This window comes from Homo sapiens, chromosome 14 (assembly GCF_000001405.40).
Source record: "Homo sapiens chromosome 14, GRCh38.p14 Primary Assembly".
Classification (NCBI taxonomy): Eukaryota; Metazoa; Chordata; class Mammalia; order Primates; family Hominidae; genus Homo; species Homo sapiens.
Window position 1 is genome coordinate 52,756,120 of NC_000014.9, and position 19,052 is coordinate 52,775,171.

Sequence of the window (19,052 nt, forward strand, 5' to 3'; positions counted from 1 at the left end):
ACAGTTCTACCTCAGCCCCCTTAGTAGCTGGGACTATAAGTGCACACCACGACACCCAGCTAATTTTTTAATATTCTGTAGAGATGGAGTCTCCCTCTGTTGCTCAGGCTGGTCTCGAATCCCTGGGCTCAAGTGATCCTCCCACCTTGGCCTCCCAAAAGAGTTTCTTTTTGCTGGGATTATAGGCATGAGCCATTGTGCCCAGCCTGATGGATTTTTTAAATACTTAAATATCAGAGATGTTAACATGGTGTTTCAGGTTTTAATGCCTTCAAGCAATGTAAAATCTACCACACAGTTCTTGGGAATATGATACTTTGAAAGTTGTTTTGCATTCTTGCCATGGTTAACAAGAAATAATGAGTTATTTTTTTAAAGTACCTTAAGTGTTTTACTTAAAGTGTGCTTATCACAAAATACTCTATTTTCAGATATTTAGTCCTGGATATTGCAGATAATCCAGTTGAAAATATAATACGTTTTTTCCCTATGGTAGGTACCAGTATTTTTTAAATATCATTTAAAATTTATTTATGATTTGACTTCTTAGTTGTGCTTTTTTTTTTTTTTTTTTTTTTTTTTTTGAGACAAGAGTTTTACTCTTGTTGCCCAGGCTGGAGTGCAATGGCGCAATCTTGGCTCACCACAACCTCTGCTTCCCGGGTTCAAGTGATTTTTCTGCCTCAGCCTCCCAAGTGGCTGGGATTACAGGCATGAGCCGCCATGCCCAGCTAATTTTGTATTTTTAGTAGAGACGGGGTTTCTCCATGTTGATCAGGCTGGTCTCAAATTCTCGACCTCAGGTGATCTGCCTGCCTCAGCCTCCCAAAGTGCTGGCATTACAGGCGTGAGCCACCGTGCCCAGCCCCTTTAATTGTGCTTGTAAAGCTTGCTACTTTTACTTTGCTATGACTGAAAATTATGTGATTGTGTTTTTAAAAGAATTATTTGTAGAAAATTTTTTATGATCTCCAGAAATTTGAGGAATCATATTGTGAATGTATTGGACTTAAATTAAATTTTGGCTTCTTTAATTTTTTTGGACTTGTAATAGTTCTATTTATAGCATTTTGGAAATTGGTGAATCAAAATAATTTTTATACATATAAATTAGGAAATTGTTTTCAATAGGTTTCATTTTGTTTCATTATATGCATTTATTTTATGCTTACATTAATCCACATGTCTTTTGCCTCCAGACTAAGGAATTTATTGATGGGAGCTTACAAATGGGAGGTAAATAACATTTCCTTTCCTTAACTAATGTTTATATTTTGATTATTTGTTAATTTTTTAGTTGGTATTTGTCTTAAATGCAGGATATGGAAGTTACAATTATATGTAGTAGCTTACTCCCAAATTTGTATTTTCCCAATTACTTGTTTCATTTGGATAGGCTTTCTGGAGTATCCCTGTAGACTGTTTTCAAATTCTCTGTGAGCTTTCAGTTTCTTTAATAAGAGTCTGCTATATTCTCTACACAGTTGATAATAACAAATTGTAAAGATTTGAAGATATCCAAGTGATTATAGTATATAAGGAGTTACTTTACTGTGGTTTCAATGTAGTTCAGCTACTGACTCAGGTGTTTTTCTATTAGAATAATGAATTCATGTTTTTCAGGAAAAGTTCTTGTGCATGGAAATGCAGGGATCTCCAGAAGGTATGAAGTTAGAAATAATCTTTCTTTCTATAACATTTAATTAATGGGCTGTATTTTCTGGTTGTTTTTAAAATTATTTTCCCCTCTTCAGTGCAGCCTTTGTTATTGCATACATTATGGAAACATTTGGAATGAAGTACAGGTAAGAAAATACCCTAAAACCTAGCCACAGTTTAAATTCTCATTAAAATGAAACTTAATGGGAATAGTTTGGAAGTTTGAAGTTCTTATTCCCCTGATTATTTTTCATGTAGTCATGTTTGATTAGGCAGGCCCTTATTCCATGATTAGTCTTAACCTAATTTATCTACTTGTATAGATATGCATAGGCTAATATGGAAATCCTATGGAAAACTACTTACCTACCACAAGGGAATTGGTTGGTATGAGTATAAAAACTCGTGACCACAAATGTTAGTGCTTGCCTTATTTAAAGGGCTAATTTATCATGTTCTCCTTTAACAATAGTTGGATGAAAAATTACCTAGGAATTGTTTGCAGCATCTATTTACAATTCAGAGTAGTCTTTCTTATCAAAAATCATCTTTTCCAAGCATTCTGTATAGATTTTTTAAAAGATAGGGGGTGGTAATGAGCTTCTTGCCCCAAGACAAAGCAAAAGCCTGGCCAGTGTACAGTATTTCCTTTCTCAGCTTTTCTTGTTCTACAAATTAGAAATCTTATAGTAATCATTGACACATCTTTCTATTTCAGTCCCCTTTTATATCTAAATTAGAATGGATAACTTTGCTTAAAAATATCTATTCTTAAAGGAATATTATTTGAATACAAATATTTATTTATTTATTTTTGAGACGGCGTCTTGCTCTATTGGCAGGCTGGAGTGCAGTGGTGCGATCTCAGCTCACTGCAACCCCCGCCTCCCAGATTCAAGCAATTCTCCTGCCTCAGCCTCCCTAGTAGCTGAGACTACAGGTGCACACCACCACGCCTGGCTAATTTTTGTATTTTTATTAGAGATGGGGTTTCACCATGTTGGCCAGGATGGTCTCGATTTCTTGACCTTGTGATCCACCTGCCTCGGCCTCCCAAGGTGCTGGTATTACAGGGGTGAGCCACTGCACCCAGCCAGAATACAAATATTTAATTGAAAAAAGATTAAACATGTATTGATGGACTTTATGTTTTATATATTGTTTTTATTATTTCGAATTTTGTCAGACCATTAATGTTGGAAATAACTTGTATTTATTGGGTCTCTGCTATGAGCTCAGTACTATTATAGGCACTTTAAGCCTCATAACAAAAGTAAATAAACCTCTTTAACCAGTGATAGTATTTTGAGCTTGAACTTGTACTATATGCACAAAATGCTTACATTTTATATATTTATTTTAGAGACAGGGTCTTCCTTTGTTTCTCAGGCTGGAGTGTAGTGGCACAATCATAGCTCACTGTAGTCTCAGACTTGAGGACTCAAGTAATCCTCCCACCTCAGCCTCTCAAGAAGCTGGGACTATACCACATCACTGTGCCTGGCTAATTTTTAAGTTTTTTGTAGAGATGGGGTCTTACTACATTGCCCAGGCTGGTCTCAAAGTCCTGGCTTCAAGCAGTCCTCCTGTGTTGGCCTCTCAAAGGATTGGGGTTACAGGCAAGAGCCACTGCACCTGGCCACTTTACACTTACCTCCTATTCATAGTAGTTCCCCAAGGTAGGTGTTATTAGACTCTTCATTTTACCAATGGACAAAATAGAGCTTAGAGAAGTTGAGCAAGCTGCCGTAAGCATATAGCTGGTGAGAAAAGGAATTGTGATATTTAATCTCATCATGCTTTTTCCATTACAACTCATTACCCCTCTCTATTGCTAAGTTGTATGATTATGATTAATTCATTAAATAATGCTATCACATTAACACTCTTTTTCTGTTTTCAGAGATGCTTTTGCTTATGTTCAAGAAAGAAGATTTTGTATTAATCCTAATGCTGGATTTGTCCATCAACTTCAGGTAACTTTTCTTCCTCTTTAAGGCAATCAGAAGTAAGATATAAAATCTTTTATACATGTAATTTAGGTGTACAATTTACTTTGTGAATACTTAAAATTGCCATAATCTGACTACTTTGATGCTTTATTCAAGTTTATATCTCTATTTAGAAGTATTTTCTTGGCTGGGTGTGGTGGCTTATACCTATAATCACAGCACTTTGGGAGAACAAGGCATTTGGATTGCTTGAGGCCAGAAGTATGAGATCAGCCTGAGCAACAAAGTGAGACCCAATCTCTAAAAAATAAAAAATTAAAAAAAAATTAGCCAGTCATGGTGGTGCATGGCTGTGGTCCCAGCTACTCAGGAGGCTGAGATGGGAGGATTGCTTGAGCCCAGGAGTTTGAGGCTACAGTGAACAGTGTGCCTTTGCACTCCAGCCTGGCCCACAGAGTGAGACCCCATCCCTAAAAAATTAAAAAAACTTTTTTTTCTTAAAGGCTGGCATTACCAAGAAAAAAGGGTTAAAGACACATTATCAAATCTAAAGTAAAATAATTGCTGTTAGAAATGTCTGATTTTTTTTTGTTGTTCATTTTGATCACACAGAGCATAAGACAGTTTTGATTCTAAGTATACTAACTATAACAGCTTTTTCTATTCTATGTTTATCTTTTCCATGTTGTTTCATATTTTGTTGATGCCTGGCAGATGCACTGACAAAGATGATAAGTCTATGAATTAACCTAATTAGACCACGTTGCTCAGTTTATTCCAAGAGGCAAAATCATAGGCTGCAGAATGTGCTCTGGCTAATTACATCCAATTATGTAGGAATAAAGCTCATGTTTCAACATCAAGAATATTTATTACAAAATATATTGTTATAGTTACCAAGGTTTAAATTTTATTTTAATATTTAATTTACTTTTAATTTTTACTACATTCAAAAGAGAAACAGTGTCATCTGTGTTCAGCCTGTTCATGTAAAATGTTTGTCTTCTAACTTTGTAAGTTTCTTTGCCTTTTACCATGTTGTAGAAAACATTGTTTTTTTTCATTTTTTTTAAACTATTTTTTAAGCTTTTCTTTTTTTTGTGGATACATAGTAGGTTAGGTATTTCGATACAGGCATGCAATGTGTAATAATCACATCATGGAAAAATAGAGTATCCATCCCCTCAATCATTTATCCTTTGTGTTACAAACAATCCAATAATGCTCTTACTTGTTTTCAAATGTGTAAAAACATTCTTTTTTAAAATTAATTTTTGTATTTGAAAGAATAGTATATACATATGTTTAAGAAGATTGGCCTGGCTCAGTGGCTCACACCTGTAATCCCAGCACTTAGGGAGGCCGAGGTGAGTGGAACACCTGAGGTCAGGAGTTCGAGACCAGCCTGGCCAACATGGGGAAACCCCATCTCTACTAAAACTACAAAATTAGCTGGATGTGGTGATGCATGCCTGTAATCCCAGCTACTCAGGAGGCTGAGGCAGGAGAATCGCTTGAACCTGGGAGGCGGAGGTTGTGGTGAGCTGAGATCATGCCATTGCACTCCAGCCTGGGCAACAAGAACAAAACTCCGTGTCAAAAAAAAAAAAAAAAGAATATTGGAAATATCCTGATAGGTACATCTGTGTGAATATACCTGTAAGGTAACTGAAGTGGAATTGGTGGATTCCAGTGCCTTTGAAATTTGATAGATGTTTCCAGATTGCCTCCAAAAAAGATGAAGTAATAATAAACTTATATCACCAGGAAACAAAAAGTGCCTATTCCTCCGAGTGCCTATTTCCTCCTACCCTAATTAACACCAGTAGCCAAAAGTTTTTTTTTTTTTTTTTTTTGAGATGGAGTCTTGCTCTGTCACCCAGGCTGGAGTGCAATGGCGCCATCTCGGTTCACTGCAACCTCCACCTCCCAGGTTCAAACAATTCTCCTGCCTCAGCCTCCCAAGTAGCTGGGATTACAGGCACGTGCCACCACGCCCAGGTAATTTTTGTATTTTTAATAGAGATGGGATGGCCGGGTGTGGTGGCTCACGCCTGTAATCCCAACACTTTGGGAGGCTGAGGTGGGTGGATCACCTGAGATCAGGAGTTTGAGACCAGCCTGGCCAACATCGTGAAACCCTGTCTCTACTAAAATTACAAAAATTAGCCAGGCGTGGTGGCAGGTGCCTGTAATCCCAGCTACTTGGGAGGCTGAGGCAGGAGAATTGCTTGAACTCGGGAGGCGGAGGTTGCAGTGAGCCGAGATGGCATCATTGCACTCCAGCCTGCGGAACAAGAGCAAGACTTCGTCACAAAAGAAAAAAAAAAATAGAGATAGGGTTTTGCCATGTTGCCCAGGATGGTCTTGAACTCCTGACCTCAGGTGATCCACCCACCTTGGCCTCTCAAAGTGCTGGAATTACAGGCGTGAGCCACCACTCCTGGCCCAAAAATGTTTTATCAGATTTTTGTGATCATTTGTTGGTGTTCCTCTCACCGGTTTGTAAGAGCTCTTTTTATATTATGGAAATCTATTTATAGCCTACCGATTTGAAATATCATTTTTATTTTATACCAAATTCTGATATGTCCTTTAGAAGTTTGAAGTTTTCTTTTTTAAGGTGCTTATGGAATGGCTAGTTCTAGTTTTTGAACCGTTAATATGGTGACTTGAGTTACTGGATCACATTAGATTGGATTTCCTAATATTGAATCATCCTTTTGGTCCAGCAATGGATCCCACTTGGTTATGATAGACTGTTCTGTTAATGTATTGCTGGATTGTATTTGCTAATCTTTTTGTTCAGGATTTTGGAATCAGTTAAATAGTAAATTGGTTTGTCTTTCTTTTTTTTTTCTGTACTATCCTTTTCTGGTTTTACTATCTCTGTCACAGTGTTCTCATTTTTTAGTGGAAGCTTTCCATTTCTCTTTGTGCCATGGATCAATTTAAATTAGATTGGAGTTACTTGTCTCTTAATGCATTAGTATATGGCACCTGTGAAATATCTGACCATAATGTTTTATCTAATTCAGTTATTCATTATTTCATTCATTCATATATTTTGACAATAGACCAGTTCTCAGACAACATTCTTCATTTGGTGTATCGGTTTGATTTTTTCTTTTCTTTCTTTCTTTCTTTCTTTCTTTTTTTTTTTTTTTTTTTTTTTTTTGAGGCAGAGTCTTCTGCTCTGTTGCCCAGGCTGGACTGCAGTGGTGCAATCTCAACTCACTGCAACCTCTGCCACCTGGGTTCAAGTGATTCTGCTGCCTCAGCCTCCAGAATAGCTGGGATTTACAGGTGCCTGCCACCACAACTGGCTAATTTTGTATTTTCAGTAGAGACGAGGTTTCACCACATTGGCCAGGCTGGTCTCAAACTCCTAACCTCTGGTGATCCGCCCGCCTCGGCCCCCAGAGTGCTGGGGTTACAGATGTGAGCCACTGCTCCTGGCCTGGTTTGATTTTCTGATACCCCTCAGGTCACTTTGGATGTATTTATGATCTTCTGTGTAATCATTGATTTCATAAGAGTTCTACATAGAATTAAGGAAAATAATATCTTGTACTTTAATATCTTTTGGTTCTATTATTTTTTTTCTTCATCTGGTTAGTCCATGTTGTTTTTCTGTATTCTAATTTCTGCTTCCTTGGTACTTTGCTTTAGTGTTGTTTGCTGCTGCTGTTGTGAATTTCCTGAGTTGAAAACTTGGTTTCTTTTTATTCTTTCAAAAATTCAAGGCTATTAATTATCCTCTTTGCATTGTGTTAGTCGCATGCTGCAGATTCTCATCTGCATTATTTTTATGTTATAGCTTGATATTCTGTGATTTCAGTTTTGGTTTCATTTTTTATCTAATATGTGTTGAGATTTTTTTTATTGTATAGGTGACTGGGTTTTAAATTTTTTATTTTTGTTCATATTTAGTTTTATTACATTGTAATCACAGAATGTTTTGTAGTACTTGTATTTTTTGATGTTTTCTTTGTGGTTTAATATGTAGTTGTTTTCATGAATTTTATGGGCATTTGAAAAGAAGATGCATTCTGTTTTCAGGGGATAAAGTTAAATGTATTTGTCCACTTGATCTGTCTTGGGCTGAAATCAGTGAATTGAAATCTTTTACTATATTGTGTTTATTTTTTCTTTATTTCCCCTTTTTTGGTTCTGCAAGTTTTTTTCTGTACTTAACTATTTGGTACATAAAAATTCAAGTTAGGTTTTTATTTTAGTTGTACCCTGTTTAAATTTCAGGGTTTTTTGTTGTTGTTGTTGAGACAGAGTCTTGCTCTGTGGCCCAGGCTGGAGTGCAGTGGTGCGATCTCGGCTCACTGCAACCTCTGCCTCCTGGGTTCAAGTGATTCTCCTGCCTCAGCCTCCCAAGTAGCTGGGATTACAGGCATGCATCACCACGCCCGGCTAATTTTTGTATTTTTAGTAGAGACGGGGTTTCACCATGTTGGCCAGGCTGGTCTCGAACTCCTGACCTCATGATCCTCCCACCTCGGCCTCCCAAAGTGCTGGGATTACAGGTGTGAGCCACTGTGCCTGGACAAATTTCGGTTATTTTACCTTGCAGTTAACCTCGTTTAATATTGTGAATCCTACTCTTTCTGTTCGCTTGCTACCTTTTGAGTTTTCCCATTCCTTTTCCTTCAAGCTTTCTAAATCACTTGATTTTAGATGCTTTTCCTCAGTGTAGTCTAGGATTGAGTTTTGCTATTAGATTTGGTATCATTGTTTCCTAATAGGTGAATTTAACCCACTTTCATTTACTGAAAATGACAGATACAATCTTATCTATTATTATTTCATATTATGCTTTCTGTTTTAAATGAATCCTTTTTTTAACCTTCTGCTATAGTTTAAAATTTTTTGGTGTGTTTATGTTTGTTACATAATTTTTAAGGTTTTATTTATTTACTTTTCCTTTTTTTTTTTTTTTTTTTTGAGTTAGAGTCTCACACTCTTGCCCAGGCTGGAGTACAGTGGTGTGATCTCGGCTCACTGCAACCTTTGCCTCCTGGGTTCAAGCGATTCACACACCTCAGCCTCCCGAGTAGCTGGGATTACAGACATATGTCACCACATCCAGCTAATTTTTGTATTTTTGGTAGAGACGGGGTTTTGCCATGTTGGCCAGGATGGTCTCGAATTCCTGAGATCATGTGATCCACCCGCCTCAGCATCCCGAAGTGCTGGGATTACGGGCGTGAGCCACGGCGCCCAGCCCTTAATCCTACATTTAAATAGGATTCAGCCAATCCTATTACCTGTTCCAGTGTCTTTATTAAACTCTTGGACTTTATTAAGAATAGTTCATGGAAACTATATTCCCATGGAAACTATCCCTTTGCATATTGGAAAATATTTTTCTTTTGCCCTTATATTTGAATGACAGTGGCTAGATATAAAATAGGTATTTAATACTTTTTCCCTAGTGATTTTGTACACAGACCTGATATTAAATATTTTTTGTTTGTTTTTTATTTTTTGGAGATGGAGTCTCACTCTGTCGCCCAGGCTGGAATGAGTGCAGTGGTACAATCTAGGCTCACTGCAATCTCCACCTCCCGAGTTCAAGTGATTCTCCGCTTCAGCCTCCTGATTAGCTGGGATTACAGGCACATGCCACCACACCCAGCTAATTTTATATTTTTAGAAGAGATGGAATTTCACCATGTTAGCTAGGCTGGTCTCAAACTTCCGACCTCAGGTGATCTGCCCTCCTCGGCCTCCCAAAGTGTTGGGATTACAGGTGTGAGCCACCGTGCCTGGCCTAAATATTGTTTTAGAGAAGTTTGAAGGCAGACCAATTTTAAGATTCCCCCCTTAGGTGAATTGATTTGTATCAGGAGAAGGTTGTCTAGATCAGCAGTCTCCAACCTTTTTCACACCAAGGACCAGTTTCATGAAAGACAATTTTTCCACGGATGGGGTGGCGGGGGAGATGGTTTCAGGACAAAACTGTTCTATATCAGATCATCAGGCATTAGTTAAGGAGTGTGCAACCTAGATCCCTCGCATACCATAGGGAGGGATAGGTTTACCATAGGGTTTGCGCTCCTGTGAGACTCTAATGCTGCTGTTGATCTGAGAGGAGGTGGTGCTCAGATGGTAATGCTCCCTGGAGTGCCACTCACCTCCTGCTGTGTGGCCTGGTTCCTGACAGGCGATGGACCGATTCTGGGGTCTGCAGTCCAGGGGTGGGGACCCTCATCTAGATGACCATAAGATGCTTTATCAAGGTGTATCCTGGTTTTTTATGTTTTTGTTTTTTGAGGGGGTCTCGCACTGTCACCCAGGCTACAGTGCAGTGGCGCGATCATGGTTCACTGTAGCCTTGACCTCCTGGGCTCAAGTGATCTTCCCACCCTAGCTTCCTAAGTAGCTGGGACCATGGGTGCACACTATCACACCTGGCTAAGTTTTTTGTTTGTTGTTGTTTGAGACAAAGTCTCACTCTGTTGCCCAAGTTAGAGTGCAATGGGGCAATCTTGGCTCACTGCAACCTCTGCCTCCTGGGTTAAAGCGATTCTTCTGCCTCAGTCTCCCAAGTTGCCAGGATTACAGGCATGTGCCACCAAACTCAGCTAATTTTTGTATTTTTTGTAGAGAGACAGGGTTTCACCATGTAAGCCAGGCTGGTCTGGAACTGCTGACCTCAGGTGATCTGCCTGCCTCGGCCTCCCAAAGTGCTGGGATTACGACGTGAGACCACACACCTGGCTTAGTTTTTTAAATTATTTTTGGTAGAGATGGGGTTTTGCCATATTTTCCAGGTTGGTCTCAAACTCCTGGGCTCAAGCGATCCTCCCACCTTGGCCTCACAAGGTGCTGGGATTACAGGCATGAGCCACTATATCCGGCCAAGATGTATCTTGTTGATTGCTCTACATCAGTTTTTTTCTGAGTCACAGTGTGCCCTTACCACTTGCAAATTCAAGCCTTCCCTGATTTCAGGAAAGTTGTCTTCTATTGTGTATTTACCCTTTTGGTTGTTCTGTTTCTTTTTCTTTTTAGTATACCCCTTACCCCGGTATAGTTTATGTTCCCTTTTTTCTTTGTTATTTGCTATTTTCTCTGTAATTATTTGCAGCTTTGTTCTTTTTTTTTTTTCCACTTGATTTTTCTCACGTTTGTTTTCCATGTCCCATGCTGCATTGTTTCATTAAATATTTATTTGGCATTGTTTTAGTTAGGCACTGACAGTAAAGCAGAGAACAAAACAGACAATAATCCTTGACCTCACGAAACTTATTTAGTGGGAGAATCAGACAACAAACAAAATGTAGTAGGCCAGAAGTAATGAATCCAAGAAAAATAAGGCCATGTAAGGAAGGTGGGACGAGAATTGTATTTTTAGAAGGGTGGTCAGAAATGGGCTTACTGAAAAGTGATATTTGAGCAAAGACCTAAAGAGATGCACGTATTTGGGGAAAAGCATTTGAGGTAGAGGAATAAGTGTAAGTGGTTTGAGGTGGGAGCATAGTTCTTAGAAGGATACTCATTTCATCATAGGGCCAGTCCTCTCATGACCTCATCCCAACTTAATCACCTGCCAAAGTCCCCACATTAAGTGTTTGGACTTCAACATATGAATTATGAGGGGAATGCAAACATTCAATCCCATAACTGCCATATTTTCTTTGATTAATTTGTTCATAGTTTTCATCTGCTTCATGGTATAAGTTTTATGGCATTTTCTTTATGACATTTGGTTATACTCTTGCTTTTCTGTTTTTGTTTTGTTTTGTTTTGTTTTTTCTTGCAAAATCTTTGAGTAAGACCTAACTGGTTCCTTCTTGATTATTGGTCATCTTTGAACTGGAGGTATTCGTCTTAGATCAGCTATTTACCCAAGAATAAAATTGTGGGAAAGGGGCCAGAGGAGTGGTTGGGGAAGGCTGACAGCTTGAATTTTCCCAGGTTCCTTTGGTGGCATGAATCAGTGAGTAAGAAGCAGAGCTCCTTATATCACAGGTTTATTTTGTTTAAATTGATAAACACTGATTCATATTAGAATCACCTGGGGAATCCTTACCCATGCCAATGAAATCAAAATCTGTGAGAGTGGGGCCTAGGTATATAGGTTTTAAAGTGCCTCAGGTGATTCTCATGTATATCCAGGCTAGAATTGCTGATTTAGCCTTTACTTTTAGCTATCCAAGATCAACTGATGCTTGGCTACATGCAACCAAATTTCACTTCCGCCTTACCATACTTAAACAGCCTGCTGCTTGCAAAAAATGGCAGGTGTAGGTGTTCACATTTTCCTTAATATGTCCCACCTTCTCCCATAGGCCACTCATATTTCCTGACTTTGTCATACCATGCAAGGGCTTGTTGGTTTTATTTTAGGTCACCTTTTTTAGCGAGCTATGAACTGTACCTACTCTGGCCCACAGAGGAGTTATCTGCTATGCCTAGCTTAGGATGGTTCTATTTTTTTTGAAAATTTTATTGTGAAATTATAATATAGAAAATGCATAAAATGTAAATAAACATCCATGTAACTATTGCCGAAGTATGGAAACAGAATGTTTACCAGGACACCAAAAGCCTTTTTCATGCCGCTTCTCAGGCACAAATCTGTTTCTCCCTCTGTAAAGTAACCACTATCCTGACGTAGCTGGTAATCAATTCCTTTTCCCCTCATTCTTCTCATTTTCAGGGTAATGGATGTTTCCTAGTTTCATCAAATGTTTTCCTTGTTTTCAGAAAAGAGAGAAACAAAAATGCCTTTATTCTTCTATCTATAACTGGAAGCAGAGGACTATTGAGATTGCCAATTTAAGTTTTTGGTGTTTTTTGGGGTTTTTTTAAACAGATGAAGTCAGAGATCATTATAGCTAATGCCATACTGACTGGCAGTTCAGCATGCAGTACCCTAGCACAAACTATTAGCCGGGCTTGATTTATAGTTATCAGTAGTTCTGAATTTATGAGACAGGAATTTTAAACTTCCATTTCTCTTCAAACAATATGGCACTAGATTTTTCAATACAGATGAAGAATACCAACAGTGTATACATTAATCACTATTTTGGGTATCCAAGAATGTAAATATATAATTAAGTTAATTAACTTATTTTTTTTTTAGGAATATGAAGCCATCTACCTAGCAAAATTAACAATACAGATGATGTCACCACTCCAGATAGAAAGGTCATTATCTGTTCATTCTGGTACCACAGGTAAGGATTTTTTTCTTTTTGGAGAAATTTGGGAAGAAAGATAATGAAAGGTGGAGAACTTGCTACAAGTTACACTGAACAATTTAAATTGTTTAGAAAACTTGTTAAACTATTGAGCTAATTCCAGAAGGATTCATTTTATAATGAATAAATGTGTACTATAATAAGCTTAAGTCTTTCAAGTAGTAGTACATCCGTGTTGTAAAGATTAAAATAATACGAATCTGGAGAAGGGGCCCTAAACACGCTTAGGTGATCTTATTAAAAGTAGAGGGCGGTTAATACAGCGTGTAGCATGGCTAATGTGAGCTTCTTTCTCTTGCCATCAATATTTCCATCCTTTCCTCCCTCTGTTGCTATTTCAGAAGTACCCTAAGCCCCTTATTTTCAAAGTTAATCCAAGCATGCTCTTAAAATCTTCCTTTCCCAAGACCTTGCTACCTGTGTTTATCACCTTTGTTTCTCTCCCAACAAAGCACACAAGGCATTTTTACTTTATTTCCAGTTTTTCCTACCCTGCAGTTCACTTCAATCTTTGAACCAACAGTTATATAAGGTAGTAAGAACAGCTTATATACTTAGCACTGACCTGGAAATTGAGGACAGGTGATCTGATCCACAAGTATAGAACTCTTTGCACTCTACTGCACTGCCCATAGTGAGTAATATGACTGTATATTCATCCCCAAGGCTCAACTTCCTAATTGTCATTGACTTTTTCATTTCCTTTGCCACATCTGTCTAATAATTGCTCTCCACATCCTATAGGGTCCGTTTTGTCAGTATTGTTAACATTCCTTCCTTTTTTTAATAGTGACCTTAATCTAGTTCAGGTCCGGATTTGCCTCCTTTCCAAACTCTTGTTATTTGGTCTGTTCTGTACATTGTGGCCAGACTTATTCCCATGAAAGATATTTCTAATATTGATATTTTTCCTTTGCCAAAGCCTCCTTTGGCTTCATTCCTACAAAAGTTTATAGAATGCCATATGCCCTTCTGATTTTTTGGTTTCTTTCTCTCATTGTTCTTCTTTATGTCTGCATTTCAGAAAACAACTGCTGATGGTTTCCTGTGTGTGTCTTCTTTTCCCCACCTAAAATGCATCACATTTAGTCTCCCTATTCTTGGTTCATATGTCATCTCCTCAGGAAGACATGATGATTAATGCACTCTTCCTTTAACCCCTAGTCATTTGGAGTTCCCATAGAAGCACAGCACTTCATCTGAAACTTAATCACAGTATCTGGGTTTAGCCTGAGGGCTAGGATATTTTATCTCATTCAATTGTATTGATACTATATTTTTATCTTTATGAATTTTATAGTGAAACATTCTTCAATTAGAATATGCCCTCTGAATTAACATTATTATTACCATGATATAACAGTCCTGTAGGGCATAAGTTTAAGGTCATGCCATTGTTAGGCAAAAAACACAGCAGACCCTCTGCTGGTTTAACTGTTCCCTAAAGTTTTCCTCCATTGAGAGTCTAATTTCTTGATTATAACTTTTGGGGATACAGAGATAGCTTTGATTCTATGTGGGAGATTTCTGTACTAGCAGATGCTGGTATGAAGAATAGATAAAAGAAAATCTCTTTATATGCTACATGCCTTCCTTTCTCCCAACCTAGACTTCGATAGCTTGAGTGGAAAAATATTTTCAGCTGCTCTTCATAACAGCCTCTGTGAAAGCAAAAAGATTATCTACAAAAAATTATACAAATACAAGATTAATTTCCTAAATTTTATGCCCTAAGTCACATGTTTATGGTGCCTAAAAAACAATTAACTTGATAACTAAACATTTATGTATTATCTCTTGAAAAGGTCTATTTTCACACTATTTCAAAAATTATTTATTTTATATGCAATACCTAAGACATAATACTTGAGAAGGAAAATATATCCTGTCATGAAGATTAAAAAGTTATAATATTTAGGTAATTTATCACAAAGGAATTTACTAAATTTTGCTATATCAGTTGTGGAATTTTCATAGTGTATACATGATCACTTAATAACAAAATTTTACTTGCTGTAACCTTTTAACATGAATTTATTTTAGTGCCCTTTTAATCTTCATGCAATAACTTTTAGGCAGTTTGAAGAGAACACATGAAGAAGAGGATGATTTTGGAACCATGCAAGTGGCGACTGCACAGAATGGCTGACTTGAAGAGCAACATCATAGAGTGTGAATTTCTATTTGGGAAGGAGAAAATACAAGAGAAAATTATAATGTAAAATGGTAAAAACATAAGTAGTTTTTTTTTCAATTACATGTTGCTTCCAGACATACTTCTCTGCAACTTGTTGAGCAACATTTTAAGATGTTGGACTTCTGCAATAGATGACACTGATGGTTTTACTCCTTTTTTTAAAAACACATGCGCGCGCACACACACATGCTTTACAAGTTTTATTATAAACCAAGAATTTTGGACTTGCAAAGAGGTATTATTGCAATAATGCACTTTTCATACTTGAAATTTATTTGTATGATATAAAGTTATTACTTTAAACAAAATGCAAGTATGGGGGGATTGTTTATAAAGTTTGGGTAATTTATAACAAAATTTGCTAAGGTTTGCTAAAAATTCATTTTTCTGTTCTATATATTACATTTTTAACATAATTTTACAGTTCAATTTTATGATGGAGCCTCTTACAGAAACATTAACAAAATGCAGGAATCTGCCACATTTCTTTTTTAGTATAACTTAATAGCTTAATTACCATTTTATTTTTTATACTTCTTCCATTATTAATCTTTAAATCATGATCCTAATTAGCTGTCCTTACTTTAACTTGATCTAATTATTGCTTCCTTTCTTATTACTTTCCTAATTTTTCTATATTTTAAAAACTACAGTTTCCATGATAAAAGGAAAACGTTTTGATTTATAGTACCAAGTGCTTAAACACAAGGATAGTGTTAGATTTTCGAGTGACTTTCCTTTTTGCATTTTTTGGCAGTAAAAGCCAAACGTTGTATTTGTTCTTTTCAGAGTTGTCCAGCCCTTTTTTCCTTTGTCCAAAATGATTCTAAATAGAATCTAATAAACCAATGTAGCATTATTTTTTTCTAAATGAAGCCCCAAAAAAGAAAAGTGCCTTGCATCATTTAAAAAAAATAATTAAATCCTCATGGCCTCTAAATTAGTATGTAGAACACTGAAAAGTTCTTAACATTTTTGTGTAATTTCCTTTCTTTTTAAACCATAAATTAGTTTAAACTGAAAGTACGAGGCTGGAAGAAATATTAGTAAATTATTTGGAATATAGAATGTTTACTCTTTCTTTTTATGTTGTCTTAATGATTCTGTGAGATTGTTCCGGCTCAAACAGAAGCTTTTCTTTGGGGAAGGTGATTTGTGGGAGACTAGTGTATTTTAAATTAGCATTTTAATCCATTCTTGACATTCAGTTAGTCCAGATCTGCCCCATAATTTGCTTTAGTAAAGTCACTTTATGGATTTTTGGCTATGTTTTAGTTTGTGTGTATAAAAGTTCTAAGAAAACATTTTTGCTATTTTAAGTATGTAAGGGAAGAGAGGAGTGTTTTTAACTTTTTATAGTTGATGACTTTAGGGTAGCACAAACAAAACTCCTTTGTATCTAACTTTTCTCAATCCTCTCTTGAGGTGCTTTACTAATGGGAATGATTTCTGTATGTTCCCTTGGTACCAAGAGGTACTATGCAAAGTAACCTATTACACCAAGTTACTTGCTTTGCTTTCCTCTCTATGATGTGATAATACAGTAAAAGCTTTCTTACCCAGCATAGTGGGAGAGTGGAGATTAATTAAAATTGTTAATTAAGAGTTAATTCCTATTGACCCAGGTGATATTTCTCTTCTGATTTCCCTCCCCTTCCCTTCTCTTATCTTACCACTGTGAAAACAGCATATTGTTAATCTCGTTGTCGTCCAGTATTCTGCTTTGTGATTAGGTCTTTTGATGTACAGTGGTCTAGTGGAGTCAAGATTCGCATTGGGTTTTCTAAAATTCCAGTTGATAAAAGTTCCAGATAACACAGCTTTCCTGTATATAGATCACTATTGGGCAGGTCAGCAAAGATCTCTTACAGTGTAATAATAATCTATGATGCTTCATTTAGCAGAAACTCTGCTTAAAAGAATCTTCATAATAGTAAGTTTAGGTTTTAAAAACTTGTTTCATAAATATACATATATCCTCTCTAGTAGTCTGGCCAAAAGAACAGATTTTGTTATTGATAATTTGTAGCTGGTAATTTTCCACATTTTCTATCCACTGTAATTTTTATGTTGTCACTGAAGTGCCTGCCCAGTACTGTATATTACAGTCTCTCACAAACACTGGGAAAAGGGACTGTCATCATCTTGAGTACTCTGTGTGTATATATATATATATAGATAGATAGATTTTTTTTTTTTTTTGAGACAGAGTCTCTAATGTCACCCAGGCTGGAGTACAGTGGCACAATCTTGGCTCACTGCAACCTCCACCTCCTGGGTTCAAGTGATTTTCCTGCCTCAGCCTCCCAAGTAGCTGGGGTTAGAGGCACATGCCACCATGCCTGGCTAATTTTTGTAGTTTTAGTAGAGATGGGGTTTCACCATGTTGGCCAGGCTGGTCTCAAACTCCTGACCTCAAGTGATCCACCCACCTCGGCCTCCCAAAGTGCTGGGATTACAGGCGTGAGCCACTGCGCCTGGCTGAGTACAATATTAATGTAGACAAACCATGAAGTTTATTATTTCATATAAGAACATTACAGGTTTGTTTTTTCTTGCATGTCTGTCCACCTAATGTTTAAGTAGTTCTGGTAGCTCTTCCTATTCTTTATTCTATTTGATTCCATTTCTGTGATTCTTTTATTACCACTGATGTTTTGTGATAGTTAACTATGATAAATTTAACTGATCATGATTTATCTTCTAGAGTATTTAAATAATGTATGAGTGACCACCCAATTCCAACATTAAAAGTGTAATCTGGGCCCATAATTTATAGTGAAATTGTATCAAAACATAGGGAAACTGTATTACTGTCCATTTTGAAAATATGAAACTTGAGTATTGAAAATATTCAAACATGGAATGGCAGTATTCTAATTTCAGTTAGTTGGTTCATGTTAATTTCTTACCTGTTAGATGTTTAAACTGCAGTGACCTTTACTTGTATCTACTCTGTGGTGGAAATGTTAAACCATGATAGCTTTTGCTACCAACTCAACCACTTAACTTTTAGAGCAGTTTTGGGGAGAGTTTATGCTTCATCTGAGTTTAGAAGTAATGTCAGAAAATGTTAAGCATGTCTGTATTAAGAAAATATAAGGTTTCTAATTGTCTTATTAATATGGTAATTCAAGTGAATTAGAAATATTTAACTGCAATCTTGAATTATAAAGTTGAGATATATATATATATGTATCAAGATCTCAACTTGATGTAAAGTAAATGAGCAGTTACCTGGCGGATTTTTTTTTTTTTAAATAACTGATTTAATCCATAATCCCATAACAAACATAGCTTCACCTCAGTATTTTCTTTCTTTCTTTGTTCAACAGTGCTCCGATAAGGGAATGCTAGAAAATAGATGAGAAGTACTGAAAGACCTTTTTTTTTAATTGATTAGAAAAGTAAGTCTCTAGGGTCTTTGAATGCTGGAATTTTTTTTTTTTTTTTTGTCTTTCCCATCTGTGGCAGCTAAAACAAAAATCACTCAAAATATTCAGGTTTACATGTTAGCTCTCTCTCATAGGGAGCTGCCATACCTCACAGTTCAAAGTGTATTCTATAGATCAGTAACATTATACTGACATGTAATTGCAATTTACTATGCAGCAAAAATGATTCAAGAAGAAAAATAACCTACAGTGTCTGTATACCTTTGTATACACAATTGCTTAAGTTACTCTGCTTTTAACATTTGTACTTGGATAAAATGCTTATGTCTGTATAGGAATGTCACAGTGCAAGATGCTGCTAGCCCAGGCACAAAGTATTAAAATTATTTTGTGAAGATTGGTGGTTGTATTAAAACTGCTGTGCCATTATACCTCCAAAATATTGAAAAGCTCATTCATACTGCTGCTTATACCTCAAAACTTCTTTACTTAGATTGTTATCTGCTGGGTAAAAGTAACCCAAATTTACTCTGAGTTAAGAAGAGTGGATGAACATTGAATGTTGAGAAGCACTTAAGAGTATACTCTAAAACACTGTGGTTACACACACACACAAAATTAT

The 19,052-nt window shown here is 36.7% G+C and overlaps 1 protein-coding gene across 5 annotated transcripts in view; it reads left to right on the forward strand.

The window, feature by feature from the left end:
- STYX (serine/threonine/tyrosine interacting protein) overlaps positions 1-18,870 on the forward strand; it is a 44,824-nt gene extending 25,954 nt beyond the window's left edge. For 4 of the 5 annotated variants that reach the window (NM_145251.4, NM_001130701.2, XM_011537108.2 and 1 more), the window contains 7 exons: positions 432-492; positions 1,200-1,236; positions 1,624-1,663; positions 1,755-1,805; positions 3,563-3,635; positions 12,721-12,814; positions 14,914-18,870. In NM_145251.4, coding sequence (NP_660294.1) covers positions 432-492; positions 1,200-1,236; positions 1,624-1,663; positions 1,755-1,805; positions 3,563-3,635; positions 12,721-12,814; positions 14,914-14,987 — 430 coding nt within the window. In that variant the 3' untranslated portion in view covers positions 14,988-18,870. The remainder of the gene's footprint in view (positions 1-431; positions 493-1,199; positions 1,237-1,623; positions 1,664-1,754; positions 1,806-3,562; positions 3,636-12,720; positions 12,815-14,913) is intronic. The other variant, XM_011537109.3, reaches the window with a different exon arrangement.